Source organism: Homo sapiens, chromosome 3, assembly GCF_000001405.40.
Source record: "Homo sapiens chromosome 3, GRCh38.p14 Primary Assembly".
Classification (NCBI taxonomy): domain Eukaryota; kingdom Metazoa; phylum Chordata; class Mammalia; order Primates; family Hominidae; genus Homo; species Homo sapiens.
Window position 1 is genome coordinate 160,418,941 of NC_000003.12, and position 16,170 is coordinate 160,435,110.

The window sequence follows — 16,170 nt, forward strand, 5'->3', positions numbered from 1 at the left end:
CAGCTAAAATAAAGCACAGCATAACCGTAGTCCTGCCCAGTCATTTTCTGGGTCAGCTTTTCATTAGGGCAGAGCTGAAGAATTAGGGCACACTTATGTATAACTATGTAGTATCAAACTGGGATTTCCACAGCCCCAGCTATACTTCTCTATCAGGATGAACTGTTTGCTCCTGAAAAAAATATTACACCTAATGTTTTCTTTTATTGACCCAAGTAATTTATGCCCCTTTTAAACCCATCCATATTTTCCACAACCAAACCAGCAATTGCCATACAGGTGCTCAGTTTTGGTTCAAATTTTTATTGTTGGTCTTTCTTTCTTTATTGTTATTAAAGCATTACAACTAATTCAGTGCTATGACTGGTCATATTTAGAAGTTAATGCTTCTGGATTTCATTTTATTTTCACTTTTAGAAAGAAAAAGAACTTCAAAAACTTACACAAGAAGAAACAAACTTTAAAAGTTTGGTTCATGATCTCTTTCAAAAAGTTGAAGAAGCAAAGAGCTCATTAGCAATGAATCGAAGTAGGGGGAAAGTCCTTGATGCAATAATTCAAGAAAAAAAATCTGGCAGGATTCCAGGAATATATGGAAGATTGGTAAAGTAGATTTTTGGGGGGCATGGCTTTACTTTTTTTTTTTAAGAAAGTGTAACTTATTTTTTTGCCTTGACAACCATATTTCAAGTGTCACTGTATATAAAATAAGATTCATTTTGTTTGTTTTAAGGCACATTTATTTTTAAACATTTTGCCCTTACAGTTTCTTGTTTACTTAGCTTTAGATAAATACAATTATTTCATACATATCAAGAAAAATACTAGTAATGTCACACAAACTTAAAACCATTTTATCCTTTTTTTTAAAAGAGAGACTTTAGCCAGGCACAATGGTGTGTGCCTGTAGTCCCAGCTGTTGGAGAGGCAGAGGCAGAAGGATCACTTGAGCCTAGGAGTTCAAGTCCATCCTGGGCAATATAGCAAGACTGTTTTTTAAAAAATGAAAATTAAAAAAAATTTTTTTATATATTTGGGGTTTCACACCATTTTACTTAGGTTTGGGCTAGCATTTAAGGATATAACAAGGGATAATCTAAAAATCCAAGGCTAGCAATAGTGAGGACCATTACTGCTTCTTAGCTTCGAGGGAAGGGAGTTGTGGTCCAGAGGAGATGGGGAAAATGGATACCTTAACCCCACCTATTTCCTGCCCTCCAGTCTTAGCTGAAACCTCAAATTGGCTGAAGGTGGAGAGTCAAAGGAGCCAGTTGATGCAGTCCTTAAGTCAGCCTTTCGGAGAAGGGAACAAATTGATGTAAAAATTACCCAACATGATTGCTTCTGCATCTTGTATCGGGACTTCCACCTTATTTTCTTAAAGATAAACAGTTTGATCCTATTCATTTGCTCTCAAAGAAAGCCCAAACCAGTGAATACTGCTAGATAGTTGTGTAATAGATAAACAGATAAATGTGTTTCATCAGGATTTACATAATTTTAGATGCTTTTCAATAATTCAAAGTTTTCTGAGTTTTGCTTATAGTTCATTTAGGTTTTAAGCTTCATGTTGTTTTCATAAAATGAAAACAGTTCTTTCATTTTGTGCTCATTAGAAATTCAAGCTGCATATTCATAAACTTATACATATTTTGTATTTTGTTGTGTACCCTTTTGTTCTCTTTAAAACCATGTCTACATAAAGTTTTTCAATTAAAAGAAGTTTTTAAAACTTGATGAATGAAATGGTCCTGTGCTTTTCTGCCTAACTCTTTTTTCACCCCACTCTTCATTATTAGGGGGACTTAGGAGCCATTGATGAAAAATACGACGTGGCTATATCATCCTGTTGTCATGCACTGGACTACATTGTTGTTGATTCTATTGATATAGCCCAAGAATGTGTAAACTTCCTTAAAAGACAAAATATTGGAGTTGCAACCTTTATAGGTTTAGATAAGGTGGGTATTCGTAATAACCTACCTATAATTGGAATTTTTTTTTTTTGAGACGTAGTCTCGCTCTGTCACCCAGGCTGGAGTGCAGTGGCATGATCTTGGCTCACTGCAAGCTCCGCCTCCCGGGTTCACACCATTCTCCTGCCTCAGCCTCCCGAGTATCTGGTACTACAGGTGCCCGCCACCACACCCAGCTAATTTTTTTGTATTTTCAGTAGAGAGGGGTTTCACTGTGTTAGCCAGGATGGTCTGGATCTCCTGACCTTGTGATCCGCCCACCTCGGCCTCCCAGAGTGCTGGGATTACAGGCGTGAGCCACCACACCCAGCCCTATAATTGAATTTTTAAGTGCTAAGTGTGTTTTTCTTTTTGGATTCAGGCTTTTTCTTAATGGTTACTCAGTGAACACCTGATGGGTTTTGACGATTATTTTATGTTCTGGGGTTATATGATTATAAAAAATTGTTTGACATTTGCAGTGCCTCCACTAAAGGAATGTACATTCCAGAGTTAAAAGGAAAACCTTTATTGAGATAATTTACCTACAATAAAATTTATCATTTTAGGCCAGGTGCGGTGGCTCATGCCTGTAATCCCAGCACTTTGGGAGGCCAAGGCGGGCGGATCACGAGGTCAGGAGTTTGAGACCAGCCTGGCCAACATGGCGAAATCCCATCTCTACTAAAAATACAAAAATTAGCTAGGCATGGTAGCAGGCGCCTGTAATCTCAGCTACTCGGGAGGCTGAAGCAGGAGAATTGCCTAAACCTGGGAGGTGGAGGTTGCAGTGAACCTAGATTGCGCCACTGCACTCCAGTCTGGGTGACAGAGTGAGACTCAAAAACAACAAACAAAACAATCATTTTAAAGTATGTAATTTGGTGGGTATTAGTATATTCACAGTGTTGTTCACCCATGACCACTATCTAATTCCAAGATATTTTTATCACTCCCAGAAAGAAACCCCATAGACAGTAACAGTCGCTCCCTATACCCCTTCACCCCCTCCGTAACACTAACTACTTTTTTGTTTCTGTAGATTTATCTACATATAAATGGAATCATACAATATATGGCCTTTTTATACAGCTACATTTACTTAGCAGGTTTTCAGGTTCATCTATGTTGTAGCATGTATCAGTACTTCATTCCCTTTTATTGCCAAATGGTATTCTGTTACATCATTTTGTATAACCATTTGTCAGTTGATGGACATTTGTGTTTTCACTTTTTGTGCTTTGGCAATACTTGTGCTACGAACATTTGTGTACAAGTTTTTGAGTGAACATGTATTTTCAGTTCTCTTGGGTATATATATACCTAGGGTAGAACTGCTGGGTCATGTGGTAATTCTATGTTTAACTTTTTGAAGAACTGTCAAGATTGTTTCCACAGTGGCTGTACCATTTCCCACAAGCATGTGTAAGGGTTCCAGTTTCTTTACATCCTCGTTAACACTTGTTATGGTACATCTTTTTGATTATAGTCATCTTAGTGAATATGAAGTGGTATCTCATGGTTTTGATTAGGATTTTCCTGGTGATTTATGATAGTAAAAGTCCTTTCATGTCCTTGGCCATTTGTTATCTTCCTTGGAGAAATGTCTGTTTCAAATCCTTTGCCCATTTTTTAATTGGTTTCTCTTTGTTGAGTTGTAGGATTTCTCTATTCTGAATACAAGTCTCTTGTGAGATATGATTTACAGATATTTTACCCCATTCCTTGGATTGTATTTTCACTTTCTTGATGGTATCCTTTGAGGCACAATTTATCTTTTTTTTCCTTTGGTTGCTTGTGTTTTGGGTATCATACCCAAGAAACCACTGCCTAATCCAAGGTCACAGTGATTTGCCTCCTTTGTTTTCTTCTAAAAGTTCTATAGTTTTGGCTTTATATTTAGGTTTTAATCTATTTTGAGTTAATTTTATCACGTGATATAAAGTAGGGCTCAAACTACTCTTTCCATGTGGCTATCCAGTTATTCCAACACCATTTGTTGAAAAGATTCTTTACCCCATTGAATTTTCTTGGCATCCTTGTTGAAACCACCCAACCATTAATGTAAAGGTTTATTTCTGGGCTTTCAGTTTTATTACTTGTGCTGGTATAGGACACTGTCTTGATTATTGCAGCATTGTAATAAGTTTTAAAATCAGGAAGTCTGAGTCCTCTAATTTTGTTCTTTATCATATTGACTGTTCTGGGTCCCTATAATTTGTATATATGACTTTTAAGATCCAGATGGTCAATTACTGCCACAAAAAAAGGCGAGGAAGTAACTGGGATTTTGATACAGGTTGTATTGAATTTGTAGATCAGTTTAGATAGTATAGGCATCTTAACGGTATTAAATCTTTAGAACCACAAACATGAGATGTCTTCCGTTTAGGTCTAATTTTAGAACCTTTTGTGTATAATTCTTGTTTCTTTTGTTGAATTTATTCCTATGGGTTTTTTTTTGTTTTTTTTTTTGAGTTTTCTTTTTTGTTAACTGTTGTTTTTGTTTGTTTGTTTGTTTACTTTTAGATGGCTGTATGGGCGAAAAAGATGACCGAAATTCAAACTCCTGAAAATACTCCTCGTTTATTTGATTTAGTAAAAGTAAAAGATGAGAAAATTCGCCAAGCTTTTTATTTTGCTTTACGAGATACCTTAGTAGCTGACAACTTGGATCAAGCCACAAGAGTAGCATATCAAAAAGATAGAAGATGGAGAGTGGTAACTTTACAGGGACAAATCATAGAACAGTCAGGTAATAGTGTTTTTGTTTCTTGGTTTGTTTTTTTTTCCCCCCACAGCATTGACTTTATTTAATCTTGTTGGGGAGACATCTGAAGCTGACTTCTCTCCCCTGTTTTCCAGGTACAATGACTGGTGGTGGAAGCAAAGTAATGAAAGGAAGAATGGGTTCCTCACTTGTTATTGAAATCTCTGAAGAAGAGGTCAGCATATCTAAAATTGTATCCAGACTTTTTTTTTTTTTTAAATAGCTTTACCGAGGTATATACTTACTACAAAATTTGGCCATTTTAAGTATGGTGTACTCAAATTTTAATAGATGGCGTTTTCTATAAATGACTAGGGATTTTTTATGTAAAGCCCTTTAAAGTTTTAGAAAACAAAATATTAATCAGAAACTATATGCTCAAAGTACACTTTTTAATTAGTACATTTGGATCATACAGATATTCCATAACTTACATAATTATTTCTGTTTTACATTTAATTTATTGGGGTTTTTTTTGTATTATTGCTGTATTACATAATTTTTTACTTCAAAATAATTCTTTAAAAGTATAGCAAAGACTTGATGCAAATCTCAACTTCAGAGTATTTTAAACTTTTTTCCTCCTCAAAAACATGTTCTGAAATAGCTTGAACACCTTTTCCCAAAGTGTTGTGCTTTGATTTTTTTCCCTCCCGTATTTTGAAAATACAAGTTTATGTCCTTCTGCTTAAGTATTTGAATGCTGTACCTTCATTGAAATAATAGGTGACTGTACAACACTTAGTTACCTTTCCATCTGATTTTCTGATCAAGAAATTACTTGACCATCTCCTGAACTTTAAGATTGGGATTGGAACAGGTGGTTTGATTTTGTTCTGGTCTTTAAGATCAGAAGTTTTAGGCTGGGCGCGGTGGCTCACACCTGTAATCCCAGCACTTTGGGAGTCTGAGGCTGTCAGATCACAAGGTCAGGAGTTCAAGACCAGCCTGGCCAACATAGGGAAACCACGTCTCTACTAAAAACACAAAAATTAGCCGGGCGTGGTGGCACGCACCTGTAACAGTCCCAGCTACTCAGGAGGCTGAGGCAGGAGAATCGCTTGAACCCGGGAGGCGGAGGTTGCAGTGAGCTGAGACCGCGCCATTGCACTCCAGCCTGGGCGACAGAAGTTTTAGTTTTCTTCGTAAGTTGACTTTTCTGTCAATCTGAAATGGCTCTTAGAGAAAACTTTCTTTGTAGGTAAACAAAATGGAATCACAGTTGCAAAACGACTCTAAAAAAGCAATGCAAATCCAAGAACAGAAAGTACAACTTGAAGAAAGAGTAGTTAAGTTACGGCATAGTGAACGAGAAATGAGGAACACACTAGAAAAATTTACTGCAAGCATCCAGGTATGTGTGTGTGTGTGTGTGTGTGTGTGTGTGTACTGAAACTATTGGGATTCAACTGGAATTTATCAGAACCATTTTGCTATTTGCTTACAATTTATTAAATATATAAGGGAGGGAGGATCTATAGGCAGATATAACTCTTGATGATTTTGTTTCACTGAGTACTAATAGATAACGCCCTGTCACAGTGTTGTTCCAACCACAGCTATTCCTGTTTTCCGTTTGTACTCCATAGAAACATTACTTTCCTTAACAACTATATGACCCTTTATTTTTATTCTCTTTTCAAAGTGGAATTTTTTTTAATTATGAAAAAGCAATGCACGCCCACTGTTTTTTTAATAAGTTTCCAGAAAATACCCAAATGATCACCTTCATTTTGACGTATGTTCTTTCAACTTTTCTAATACCTAGTTTGCATGTAATGTATTTATATATGTGGTAGATATGTGTAGATATATAAAGTGTGCATATGGTTTTTTTAATGTCATACTAGCTTTTCTTAAATTATGGTTTTCTTTCCAAGGCAGTATAAATGTACTTTGTTTTTAATTGCTTTAGAGCATTTTGTTTATAACATAATTTGACAAATTTTTTTTGTATTATGTACATGGCTATGTTTAAAAAAATCCTTGTAGGTATACCTTGATTCAGTTATTTCCTTAGATTTCAAAAATTACAAGTATTACACCATATGTGTACAATGTTTAAGGCATTTGTTGCATAATGCCAGATTGTTTTCAAAAGTTATAATTCATGCACTACTAACAGCATATTCAAATAATTATTTTTCCAAGTCTTTGAACACTAGGGTGGTCTACATAAGTTTGCTACCTTGTAAACAGAAATGTGGCATTTTAACGTGTCTTTATAATGAGCTTACATATTTTGTGTTTGTTGGCCATTTTCATTTTTTATATCAATGGCACATATCTTTCCTCTTCCTATTAGTGTGTGTCTTTTTCTTGAAGATTTTAAGTGCCCTTTTTAAAAATTCACAATGTTTAAAGCAAATGTTAAAATATTGACCTTAAATGTTAAAACTTTTTTGTAGCGTTTAATAGAGCAAGAAGAATATTTGAATGTCCAAGTTAAGGAACTTGAAGCTAATGTACTTGCTACAGCCCCTGACAAAAAAAAGCAGAAATTGCTAGAAGAAAACGTTAGTGCTTTCAAAACAGGTATGTTTAGAGATAGACCTTTTTTGGGGGGAAAAAAAAAACAGGTTTTTAAAGCTTGCAATATTTAAGAAGCAGTAGAATAATAATAGAAGCTAAGTATATGCAAGTCATTGCACTATTTTATGGTGTTTGTTATAAAGTAAGTGTTATTAATAGTCTCATTTGACAAATAAGGAAACTGAGGCATTTGCCTAAGGTCACACAGCACGTGGTGGTATAGGAATAGGTGATTTTTGAGTCCATGCTTTTAATGTCATACTTTGTATACTTTGGCCCTAATCTTTCCAAAACCCCTTCAAGATAGTGGTTATAGATTTAGAAAAATTATATCACTCAGATAACACAGGGAATAAGTGGTATGCAATCAAAGAAAAACAATGTGTACTTGAAAACTTAAAATATATATATATGTATTTTTTTTCTTTCATAACTTCTTCTTGTGCAGTTATAGACATGTAAATGTTCTACCAAAATAGAATCTTTAGGCAGGAAAAGGAATTCACAGGCAGAATTGGCTCTGTAGCCTTAATTGAAATCCCCTGATCATGCACTTGAGCAGCTGTGCTTGTCTTTCCATGTTGGCTTCAATCAAACATAGATGTGCATCTTAATGGGAGAAGGGATAGTGGATTATGCCACAGTCCCCTTCCAGGTTTACAGAATCTTAGCTAGTGACTCCAGCAAACACAGCAAGGTTCATTTTATTCTTAAGACAGATCCCTGTTACAGTTTGCTTTGTGAGCCAAGGAAGACAAATACTGATTAACCATCCCAAAGAACTAATGAGAGTGGAGTTGGAGCGATTATCCAACTGCTCCAAAAATGTGGGGATTTTCTTCCAAAAGAAAAAGATTTTTAAATGTTGACACATTTCCACAATGCATATCAAATGTGCATTTATATTAATTTGTGTCTGTGTTTATCTGCATTTCTAATATTCAGGCACTCAAATAGTATCTGCTACTGGCCAGGCTTTGTTTTAGGTCCTACTGATAGAGCAGTAAACAAAAATAAAGTCTCTTCCCAGGGAGCACACATGTAAGATGGCACATATTTGAGTGGAGGCCCAAAGAAAGTATGAGTGCTAACCCATGTATGTTTGAGAAAAAAGCATTCCAAGAAGAGTATAAAGGAGCAAATACAAAGGCTGAAGCAGGAGTATGCTGGGAACACAAACCATTGTGGCTGGAATAAAGGACGGAAGAACCCAGATTCTCTGAGGCCTTCACCCACACTCCCCTTTCCCTGCAAGCACCCACAACAATGGCTTTGATGGTACCTGATGGTCAATTGAGAAGCCAAAATGTATATCTGTGCTATTAATGGCAACATTTTCATGGAGAGACTGCAAGAGTCTATATGTGTTTCATCCTTATTTGAAAAGGAATCCTTGACTTTGTTAGGAGCTCTATATATCTCCTCTCATAGAAATGCCATATATTATCAGGAGACTGTTAATATCTCATGTGGAGGACCCATTTGTGCAAGCATATCTTTAAAATTAAATATTTTCAACTATTGAACATATTCATATTTTTAAATAAAGGCTACAGTAAACCATTATATCGAAATCTGTGCAAACATTTTATATTTAAGATAAATTGGGCTGCGCATGGTGGCTCACACCTGTAATCCCAGCACTTGGGAAGGCCAAGGCAGGCAGATCACTTGAGATCAGGAGTTTGAGACCAGCCTGGCCAACATGGTGAAACCCCATCTCTTTGAAAAATACACACGCACGCACACACACAAACACACACACACGCCGGGTGTGGTGGCACATGCTTATAATCCCAGCTACATGGTAAGCTGAACCACGAGAATGGCTTGAACCTGGGAGGTGGATGGAGGTTGCAGTGAGCTGCGATGGCGCCACTGCACTCCATCCTGGGCCATAGAGCTGGAGAACCTCTAACTTCGTTACAGAAAATCCAGACTTCTGTGTGACTGCTTGCCAGAAGAAACATGTCCAATTTGTTTATGCCTTCCAAATTATGCAAGTACTTTTGATTGAATTGACCTAAATTATGTCTAAACCCTAGCCACAGAGGAATCTGGGAAATGTTAACTTTTACTCTTCGTTGTCACAGGAAGGAACGCTAATTCATCTTATATCCTCCACTTTGTTTTAATGTGGAGAACTGCGAAGTTATGTTAGCAGAAGAAAATAACCACAATTTCTTCATTGTGGGCAAGTTAATATTGAGTTAGGCACATAGTGTATCTAAGGCTAAAAATCATTATGAACTCAGTAGTCAAGGAAGTGCCCTAAGAAAAAGTTGTAAAGATATTTTAAAAGAAGCTGAGAACATGAAGCCATTAAGAAATGGTGTGTTTACAGCCGAGCTAGTGTGTTTAACTTTGTGCATTGTTGTAACACCATTTGTTTTGATACAGGATATCGTTTTTTTTTTTAAGGTGCTTTTTCCCATATGCCTAAAATTTGTTTTAATGCATCACGTCAAGTCATAGCAACTGAAGAAATGTACATCTAACAAATGATGTTCATTAGCATAAAAACACAAATTAGGTTCTTTATTTTTTAATTTCAGAATATGATGCTGTGGCTGAGAAAGCTGGTAAAGTAGAAGCTGAGGTTAAACGCTTACACAATACCATCGTAGAAATCAATAATCATAAACTCAAGGCCCAACAAGACAAACTTGATAAAATAAATAAGCAATTAGATGAATGTGCTTCTGCTATTACTAAAGCCCAAGTAGCAATCAAGACTGCTGACAGGTAGAGTATGCATGTTACCCTAACTTGTTTTCCCTTTCCCTGCCTTCACATTGGAAAGGGGGTTACTATGTAATGTTCCATAAAATGTTTCTCTTACTGTTAATTTATTGAACCTGTCTGACACATTACCTAATGGGACTTCCATGACGGAAAACCTATAATGAACATTTATCCTATGGCCAATTAAAAAGGCTGGTAAACAGGTATGCCATAGGAAAGTACAGGTAGACTGTAACTCCCCAGTTGCTGTGAGGGCATAGAAATCAGTTTTGTTTCTCTGGTCTCGGGGAGGGAGTAGTTGGTCCTTAATTTAAATAGATACAGGCCTTAAAAGAATAAGTAAAAGAGGTAAAAATGGGATCACTTAGCAAAATTAATTCTCTTGGTAACTTACATTTTAGTTTTTATTTTTATTTTTTGATACAGAGTCTTGCTGTGTTGCCCAGGTTGGAGTGCAGTGGCACAGTCAGGGCTCACTGCAGCCTCAATCTCCCAGGCTCAGGCAGTCCTCCCACCTCAACCTCCCAAGTAGCTGGGACTACAGGAATGCACTACAACACCTGGCTAATTTTTGTATTTTTTTTGTAGAGACCAGAGTTTTGCCATGTTTCCCAGGCAGGTCTTGAACTCCTGGGCTGAAGCAGTCCTCTTGCCTTGGCCTCCCAAAAGACTGAGATTACAGGCATGAGCCACTGCACCCAGCCACCTTAAAATTTTAAATACCTAGAAGATTTCATTGTCCTTAAAAAAAAAGATTTATCTACTTAGGTTTTTTTTTTTTTTTTTTTCTTTTTGAGACAGTCTCGCTCTGCCATCCAGGCTGGAGTACAGTGGCGCGATCTCGGCTCACTGCAGCCTCCGCCTCCCAGGTTCAAGTGATTCTCCTGTCTCAGCCTCCCAAGTAGCTGGGATTACAGGCACACGCTACCAGGCCCTGCTAATTTTTGTATTTTTAGTAGAGACAGGGTTTCACCATGTTGGTCAGGCTGGTCTTGAACTCCTGACGTCATGGTCCCCCTGCCTCAGCCTCCCAAAGTGCTGGGATTACAGGCATGAGCCACCGCACCCGGCCTTAATTTTTTTAGAGTATTTATTGAAGTGTGTCTGAAATAAAGTTAGGTATGTATATAAAATATTGAAATTTAAATAGCCATTTCTTTTTTTAGAAAAAATTTTAACAAATTGATTGCATATTGATTATCTGGTTAAATTAATCCAGAGTGTTTTGCTCAGAGATAAGGAGGTAATAAGGGAGAAGTAGTGTCTTGCTTTTTTGGAAGTACTTGTTGCCTTGTCTTGAATTGGGAAGTATTTGAAGGTACAACTTTATGGGTGTAGAGATTTAACAATCTCTGACGAGAAAATGACAAAAGAATTTGATAATCTAATGGACAGTGTTGCATCAGTCTAAAGTTGAATGATACAAGCAGCTTATATAAGAAAGGCATTTATAATTAAAAATATACAACTCATCCCATAAGTGTTTGTATAAACCTACAAAAACTGATTTAAGGATGGTTTAGTAAATCATAAACTTAAAAATATATGAATAGAAAAAATGTCACATTAAATTTCATGAAAAGTTCTTTAGTAGGTTTTCAGAAACAATAACAAATCACCTTACCACATTTTTGATGCATCATTTTGCTTCTTTAGAAACCTTCAAAAGGCACAAGACTCTGTCTTGCGTACAGAGAAAGAAATAAAAGATACTGAGAAAGAGGTGGATGACCTAACAGCAGAGCTGAAAAGTCTTGAGGACAAAGCAGCAGAGGTCGTAAAGAATACAAATGCTGCAGAGGTATGAGTTGCTTTGTATTGAAGAGGAGATGGGATGATACTGGAACCAATTTAAAGAGCTGGATATATGACAGTGCCTAGAATGTAGTAAGCACTCATAGACTTAAAGTTTTATAACTATCAATTTTTATTTGTACAATAAGAATACTATAATTTGTGAATTTAAATGCTTAAATTATTTTAAAATGGAAGGGGCATGAGGAGAGATTGGTAATTCCTTCATCTCTGTAATGTGAAAATGATGGCTCTATTTGGAAAATTCTATCTAGCAGTTCTTTTCGGTGTTTAGGAATCCTTACCAGAGATCCAGAAAGAACATCGCAATCTGCTTCAAGAATTAAAAGTTATTCAAGAAAATGAACATGCTCTTCAAAAAGATGCACTTAGTATTAAGTTGAAACTTGAACAAATAGATGGTCACATTGCTGAACATAATTCTAAAATAAAATATTGGCACAAAGAGGTGAGATTGTTACCGTTTAGTTTAATTTTAAACATATTCTTTATGAAAAAGGAGGGTTTGGGGAGGATTGTTTTAGGGGGTTGGGGTTCTTAAATTTTGTTTGTGAGCTACATTGTGATTTTTAATTCTGTGATCACTTCTAAGGTTTATAGGGGACATAACAATATAAATTGTTATATACAGAAAAGTCTGAGTAACGATTAGAATTAGACAACTACCCTTTCACCCTAGGGCTGATCTGGACATTTAAGAAAAGATTACATGGACACTTTTGAGTGTTACAACTATTTTTCTTGAAGTCCTTTGAAAAATAATTGATAAATCAGTCACAACTCCTGTTGTTTTCATAGCTGTGTAATTTGTCATATTTTTTTTTAAACAATGAATTGTATGTAATATTATGCCTTCTCTAACTCTCCCCTAAATTGAACTTTTAGATTTCAAAAATATCACTGCATCCTATAGAAGATAATCCTATTGAAGAGATTTCGGTTCTAAGCCCAGAGGATCTTGAAGCGATCAAGAATCCAGATTCTATAACAAATCAAATTGCACTTTTGGAAGCCCGGTGTCATGAAATGAAACCAAACCTCGGTGCCATCGCAGAGTATAAAAAGAAGGTATGAATGAACTGTGTATGTATACTAGTTGGAGTTCTTTTTAGTCCTTAGCCTAAATTCTGATCTTTAGTTTTGTATAATTAACAATGCTGTTGGCCGGGCGTGGTGGCTCACGCCTGTAATCCCAGCACTTTGGGAGGCCAAAGGCGGGTGGATCACAAGGTCAGGAGTTCGAGACCAGCTGGGCCAACATAGTGAAACCTCATCTCTATTAAAGATACAAAAAATTAGCCAGGCGTTGTGGCACGTGCCTGTAATCCCGGGTACTCGGGAGGCTGAGGCAGGAGAATCGCTTGAACCTGGGAGGTGGAGGTTGCCGTGAGCCGAGATCGCGCCATTGCACTCCAGCCTGGGCGTCAGGGCAAGACTACGTCTCAAAACAAAGTAATAATTAACAATGCTAATTATCATATCAAATTTATCTGAATAGATTTTCCCTATCATAATCTTTTCACAGGAAGAATTGTATTTGCAACGGGTAGCAGAATTGGACAAAATTACTTATGAAAGAGACAGTTTTAGACAGGCATATGAAGATCTTCGGAAACAAAGGCTTAATGAATTTATGGCAGGTTTTTATATAATAACAAATAAATTAAAGGAAAATTACCAAATGCTTACTTTGGGAGGGGACGCCGAACTCGAGCTTGTAGACAGCTTGGATCCTTTCTCTGAAGGAATCATGTTCAGGTGTGTAATTATGCTGAGTTTATAATCCCACTGTTACCTTTTTCTACATATTCTCCAAACTCAGTATTTCTTGGAGGTAGGATGTGAAGGCAAGATGTACAACTTGTTTCATTTACTAGTAAATACTAATTTGCTTGCATGCTATTTATGCTTGCAGTTTACAGGGGCAGACAGCCAGTATTTACAAAATATTTGTCTAGTTCATCTTTTCTTAAATTTTCAAGGCATTTTTAACATGAGGATTGAGAAATTGTATTTGATAAGGAGAAAGAATAGCAAGAAGTATAATACTTAGCTTGCTCTTTAAATCTTAAAACTTTGGTATGTGCTCCTATGTATGCATCCTCCAATAACGTTTTTATAAAATAACAGAAAAGAGAATTCATATTTGTGAAAAGCAAGTTACAGATTCCTAAAAAAGATAGTAGAACTCAATTATGGAAAGCAAATCACAAAGTCTTAACTTTAGCTTTACAGGTAATTTGACTATGATTTTCTTAATCATTTCAGTGTTCGACCACCTAAGAAAAGTTGGAAAAAGATCTTCAACCTTTCGGGAGGAGAGAAAACACTTAGTTCATTGGCTTTAGTATTTGCTCTTCACCACTACAAGCCCACTCCCCTTTACTTCATGGATGAGATTGATGCAGCCCTTGATTTTAAAAATGTGTCCATTGTTGCATTTTATATATATGTAAGTAATCATTTTGGGATTTTCATTCCAGAAACTTTTAGGGGTATCCTAAACATTACACATGGAATTCTTTATTTCTTACAATTGAGCTTTTTCTTTATTGTCTAATAACTCCATCTCCATCTCCTCTGGTATCAGTGGAGACCAAATTATTTTTTATTTGAACCAAATATTTCCATTTTGGAGGAGTAAAATATAAATTAAAAATGCAAATTAGTAGCAGAATCACAGCTAGAATCCTAGGTCATCTTCCTAGATCTTTTCCACTAGAAGTCAAAATAACCAAATTCCTTTCACACTCAAATACTGTTTTATGAATTATTCCTGCCATCATTCCTTTACATGTTATCAATGTAATGTTTATTGTCCAAAAAATATTTGAGGTTACATGTTTGTGTGATTTACCTGTTATTACTTAATGTTTGACTTTTCTTTGTTTCTCTTTAGGAACAAACAAAAAATGCACAGTTCATAATAATTTCTCTTCGAAATAATATGTTTGAGATTTCGGATAGACTTATTGGAATTTACAAGACATACAACATAACAAAAAGTGTTGCTGTAAATCCAAAAGAAATTGCATCTAAGGGACTTTGTTGAACTTTATGCTGAAGATTCTTCAAGTTGATTCAGTGTATTACTGATTTTTTTCTATTTGTAAAGGATTATGAGTTGTATAAAATACATACTCCCTAAACTAGATCATGAAACTGGTTTCTGTTTTATGCAGTTGTCATTTGTAAAGTCTAATAAAATATTCTCTATAATTGCTTCTAGATTACAAAAATATGACAATCTTGTAAGTAGCAGACTATGGAGAAAAATGAGTTACCTGGAGGGTCAGGTAACTTGCCAAACTAAAAAGTATGTTAGTTGAGGCAAAGTCCTAAGCAAGGTTGTGCTATCAAGGCTCAGCATACCTTCGTGGGCCTTTGATTTACCAACACTGGAAATGCCTGCCAACTAATCTTGGATAGATTCTTTAAGGCATTCCACTTAGCTTGCCAGTTGAGACAATCACCACAGTTATTACCCAAATACTATGAACATATTTTTGTAAACCAGTCATTCTGAATTATAGTGATGAGAATTTAAATATATGCTTTTCTAGAATTTGATGTTTGACCATTTATGACTTAATTACCAGAGAGCCAGTAAATTAGGACAGTGTTTCAACAAGCCTAGGCTATCTCGTAAGTTGAAAAATATCCCACTATAGTTGCTTCATGAGTATGAAGTAAGATGGCCTCTGATTTACACTGGTTCAATTTACAAATTTTCAACTTTATGATAGGTTTATCCGGGTACTAAATGCATTTCAACTTGATAGTTTCAACTTATGATAGGTTTACCAGGATGTAGTCCCACTGTTGAGGAGCATCTATTTAGGGGTTAATTACTTTAGTAATAAGTGGAAAGTAAGATACCTTGAGTAATGTTTGCCTATAAAATTGTCAGCGTATTTTTACACTATTGGCTCAAGAATGTTATAATGCTAAGGGACATAAGTTGGCAACCACTTGGTTTTTGGAAGGACTTTCGGTATTGTATTAGAAGTCTGCCCTAGCTGTTAAATTTCTGGGTATTTATCCTAAGGAATTAATTAAAGAGTTAATTGTTCCTTTCTTCAGTGGGCCATTGTTTTAGATATTTAAAAAATCCAACAGTTTCTATCATAATGTAACTGTAAAAATGTAAACACATTATTAGCATGGACTTTTAAATAAAGATTTAAAGAAAGCAAGATCGGAAATTCAAGTACGGTAATTTGTTCTAAATCAAGAATATATAAGGGAAAAGTAAGTTTAAAGTGCTATAATGATAATCAAGTGTTTTCATTTGGTGCGAAAATAGAATTTAATACTTTTATTATATTTTAATAACCAATGCAGTAGAGCTCA

At 35.8% G+C, this 16,170-nt stretch overlaps 1 protein-coding gene and 1 long non-coding RNA gene across 9 annotated transcripts in view, besides 1 other annotated feature; one reads left to right on the plus strand and one right to left on the minus strand.

Annotated features, from left to right (window-relative positions):
• SMC4 (structural maintenance of chromosomes 4) overlaps positions 1-16,013 on the plus strand; it is a 35,304-nt gene extending 19,291 nt beyond the window's left edge. For all 6 annotated transcript variants that reach the window (XM_011512311.3, NM_001002800.3, XM_006713459.5 and 3 more), the window contains 13 exons: positions 418-603; positions 1,800-1,961; positions 4,485-4,710; positions 4,821-4,900; positions 5,927-6,079; positions 7,134-7,260; positions 9,813-10,002; positions 11,659-11,803; positions 12,092-12,265; positions 12,703-12,885; positions 13,343-13,575; positions 14,086-14,269; positions 14,717-16,013. In XM_011512311.3, coding sequence (XP_011510613.1) covers positions 418-603; positions 1,800-1,961; positions 4,485-4,710; positions 4,821-4,900; positions 5,927-6,079; positions 7,134-7,260; positions 9,813-10,002; positions 11,659-11,803; positions 12,092-12,265; positions 12,703-12,885; positions 13,343-13,575; positions 14,086-14,269; positions 14,717-14,869 — 2,196 coding nt within the window. In that variant the 3' untranslated portion in view covers positions 14,870-16,013. The remainder of the gene's footprint in view (positions 1-417; positions 604-1,799; positions 1,962-4,484; positions 4,711-4,820; positions 4,901-5,926; positions 6,080-7,133; positions 7,261-9,812; positions 10,003-11,658; positions 11,804-12,091; positions 12,266-12,702; positions 12,886-13,342; positions 13,576-14,085; positions 14,270-14,716) is intronic.
• Positions 1-16,170, minus strand: part of TRIM59-IFT80 (TRIM59-IFT80 readthrough (NMD candidate)) — a 258,294-nt gene that overhangs the window by 191,487 nt on the left and 50,637 nt on the right. The gene's annotated exons all lie outside the window — the stretch shown is intronic.
• Positions 12,462-13,661: an enhancer, noted in NCBI's record as "CDK7 strongly-dependent group 2 enhancer chr3:160149190-160150389 (GRCh37/hg19 assembly coordinates)". NCBI's record gives its function as "activates an origin of replication core promoter dependent on BRD2, BRD4, P300/CBP, MED14 and CDK7 cofactors, with strong dependence on CDK7, by STARR-seq in HCT116 cells {active_cell/tissue: HCT116}" and the evidence as "EXISTENCE:reporter gene assay evidence [ECO:0000049][PMID:35650434]".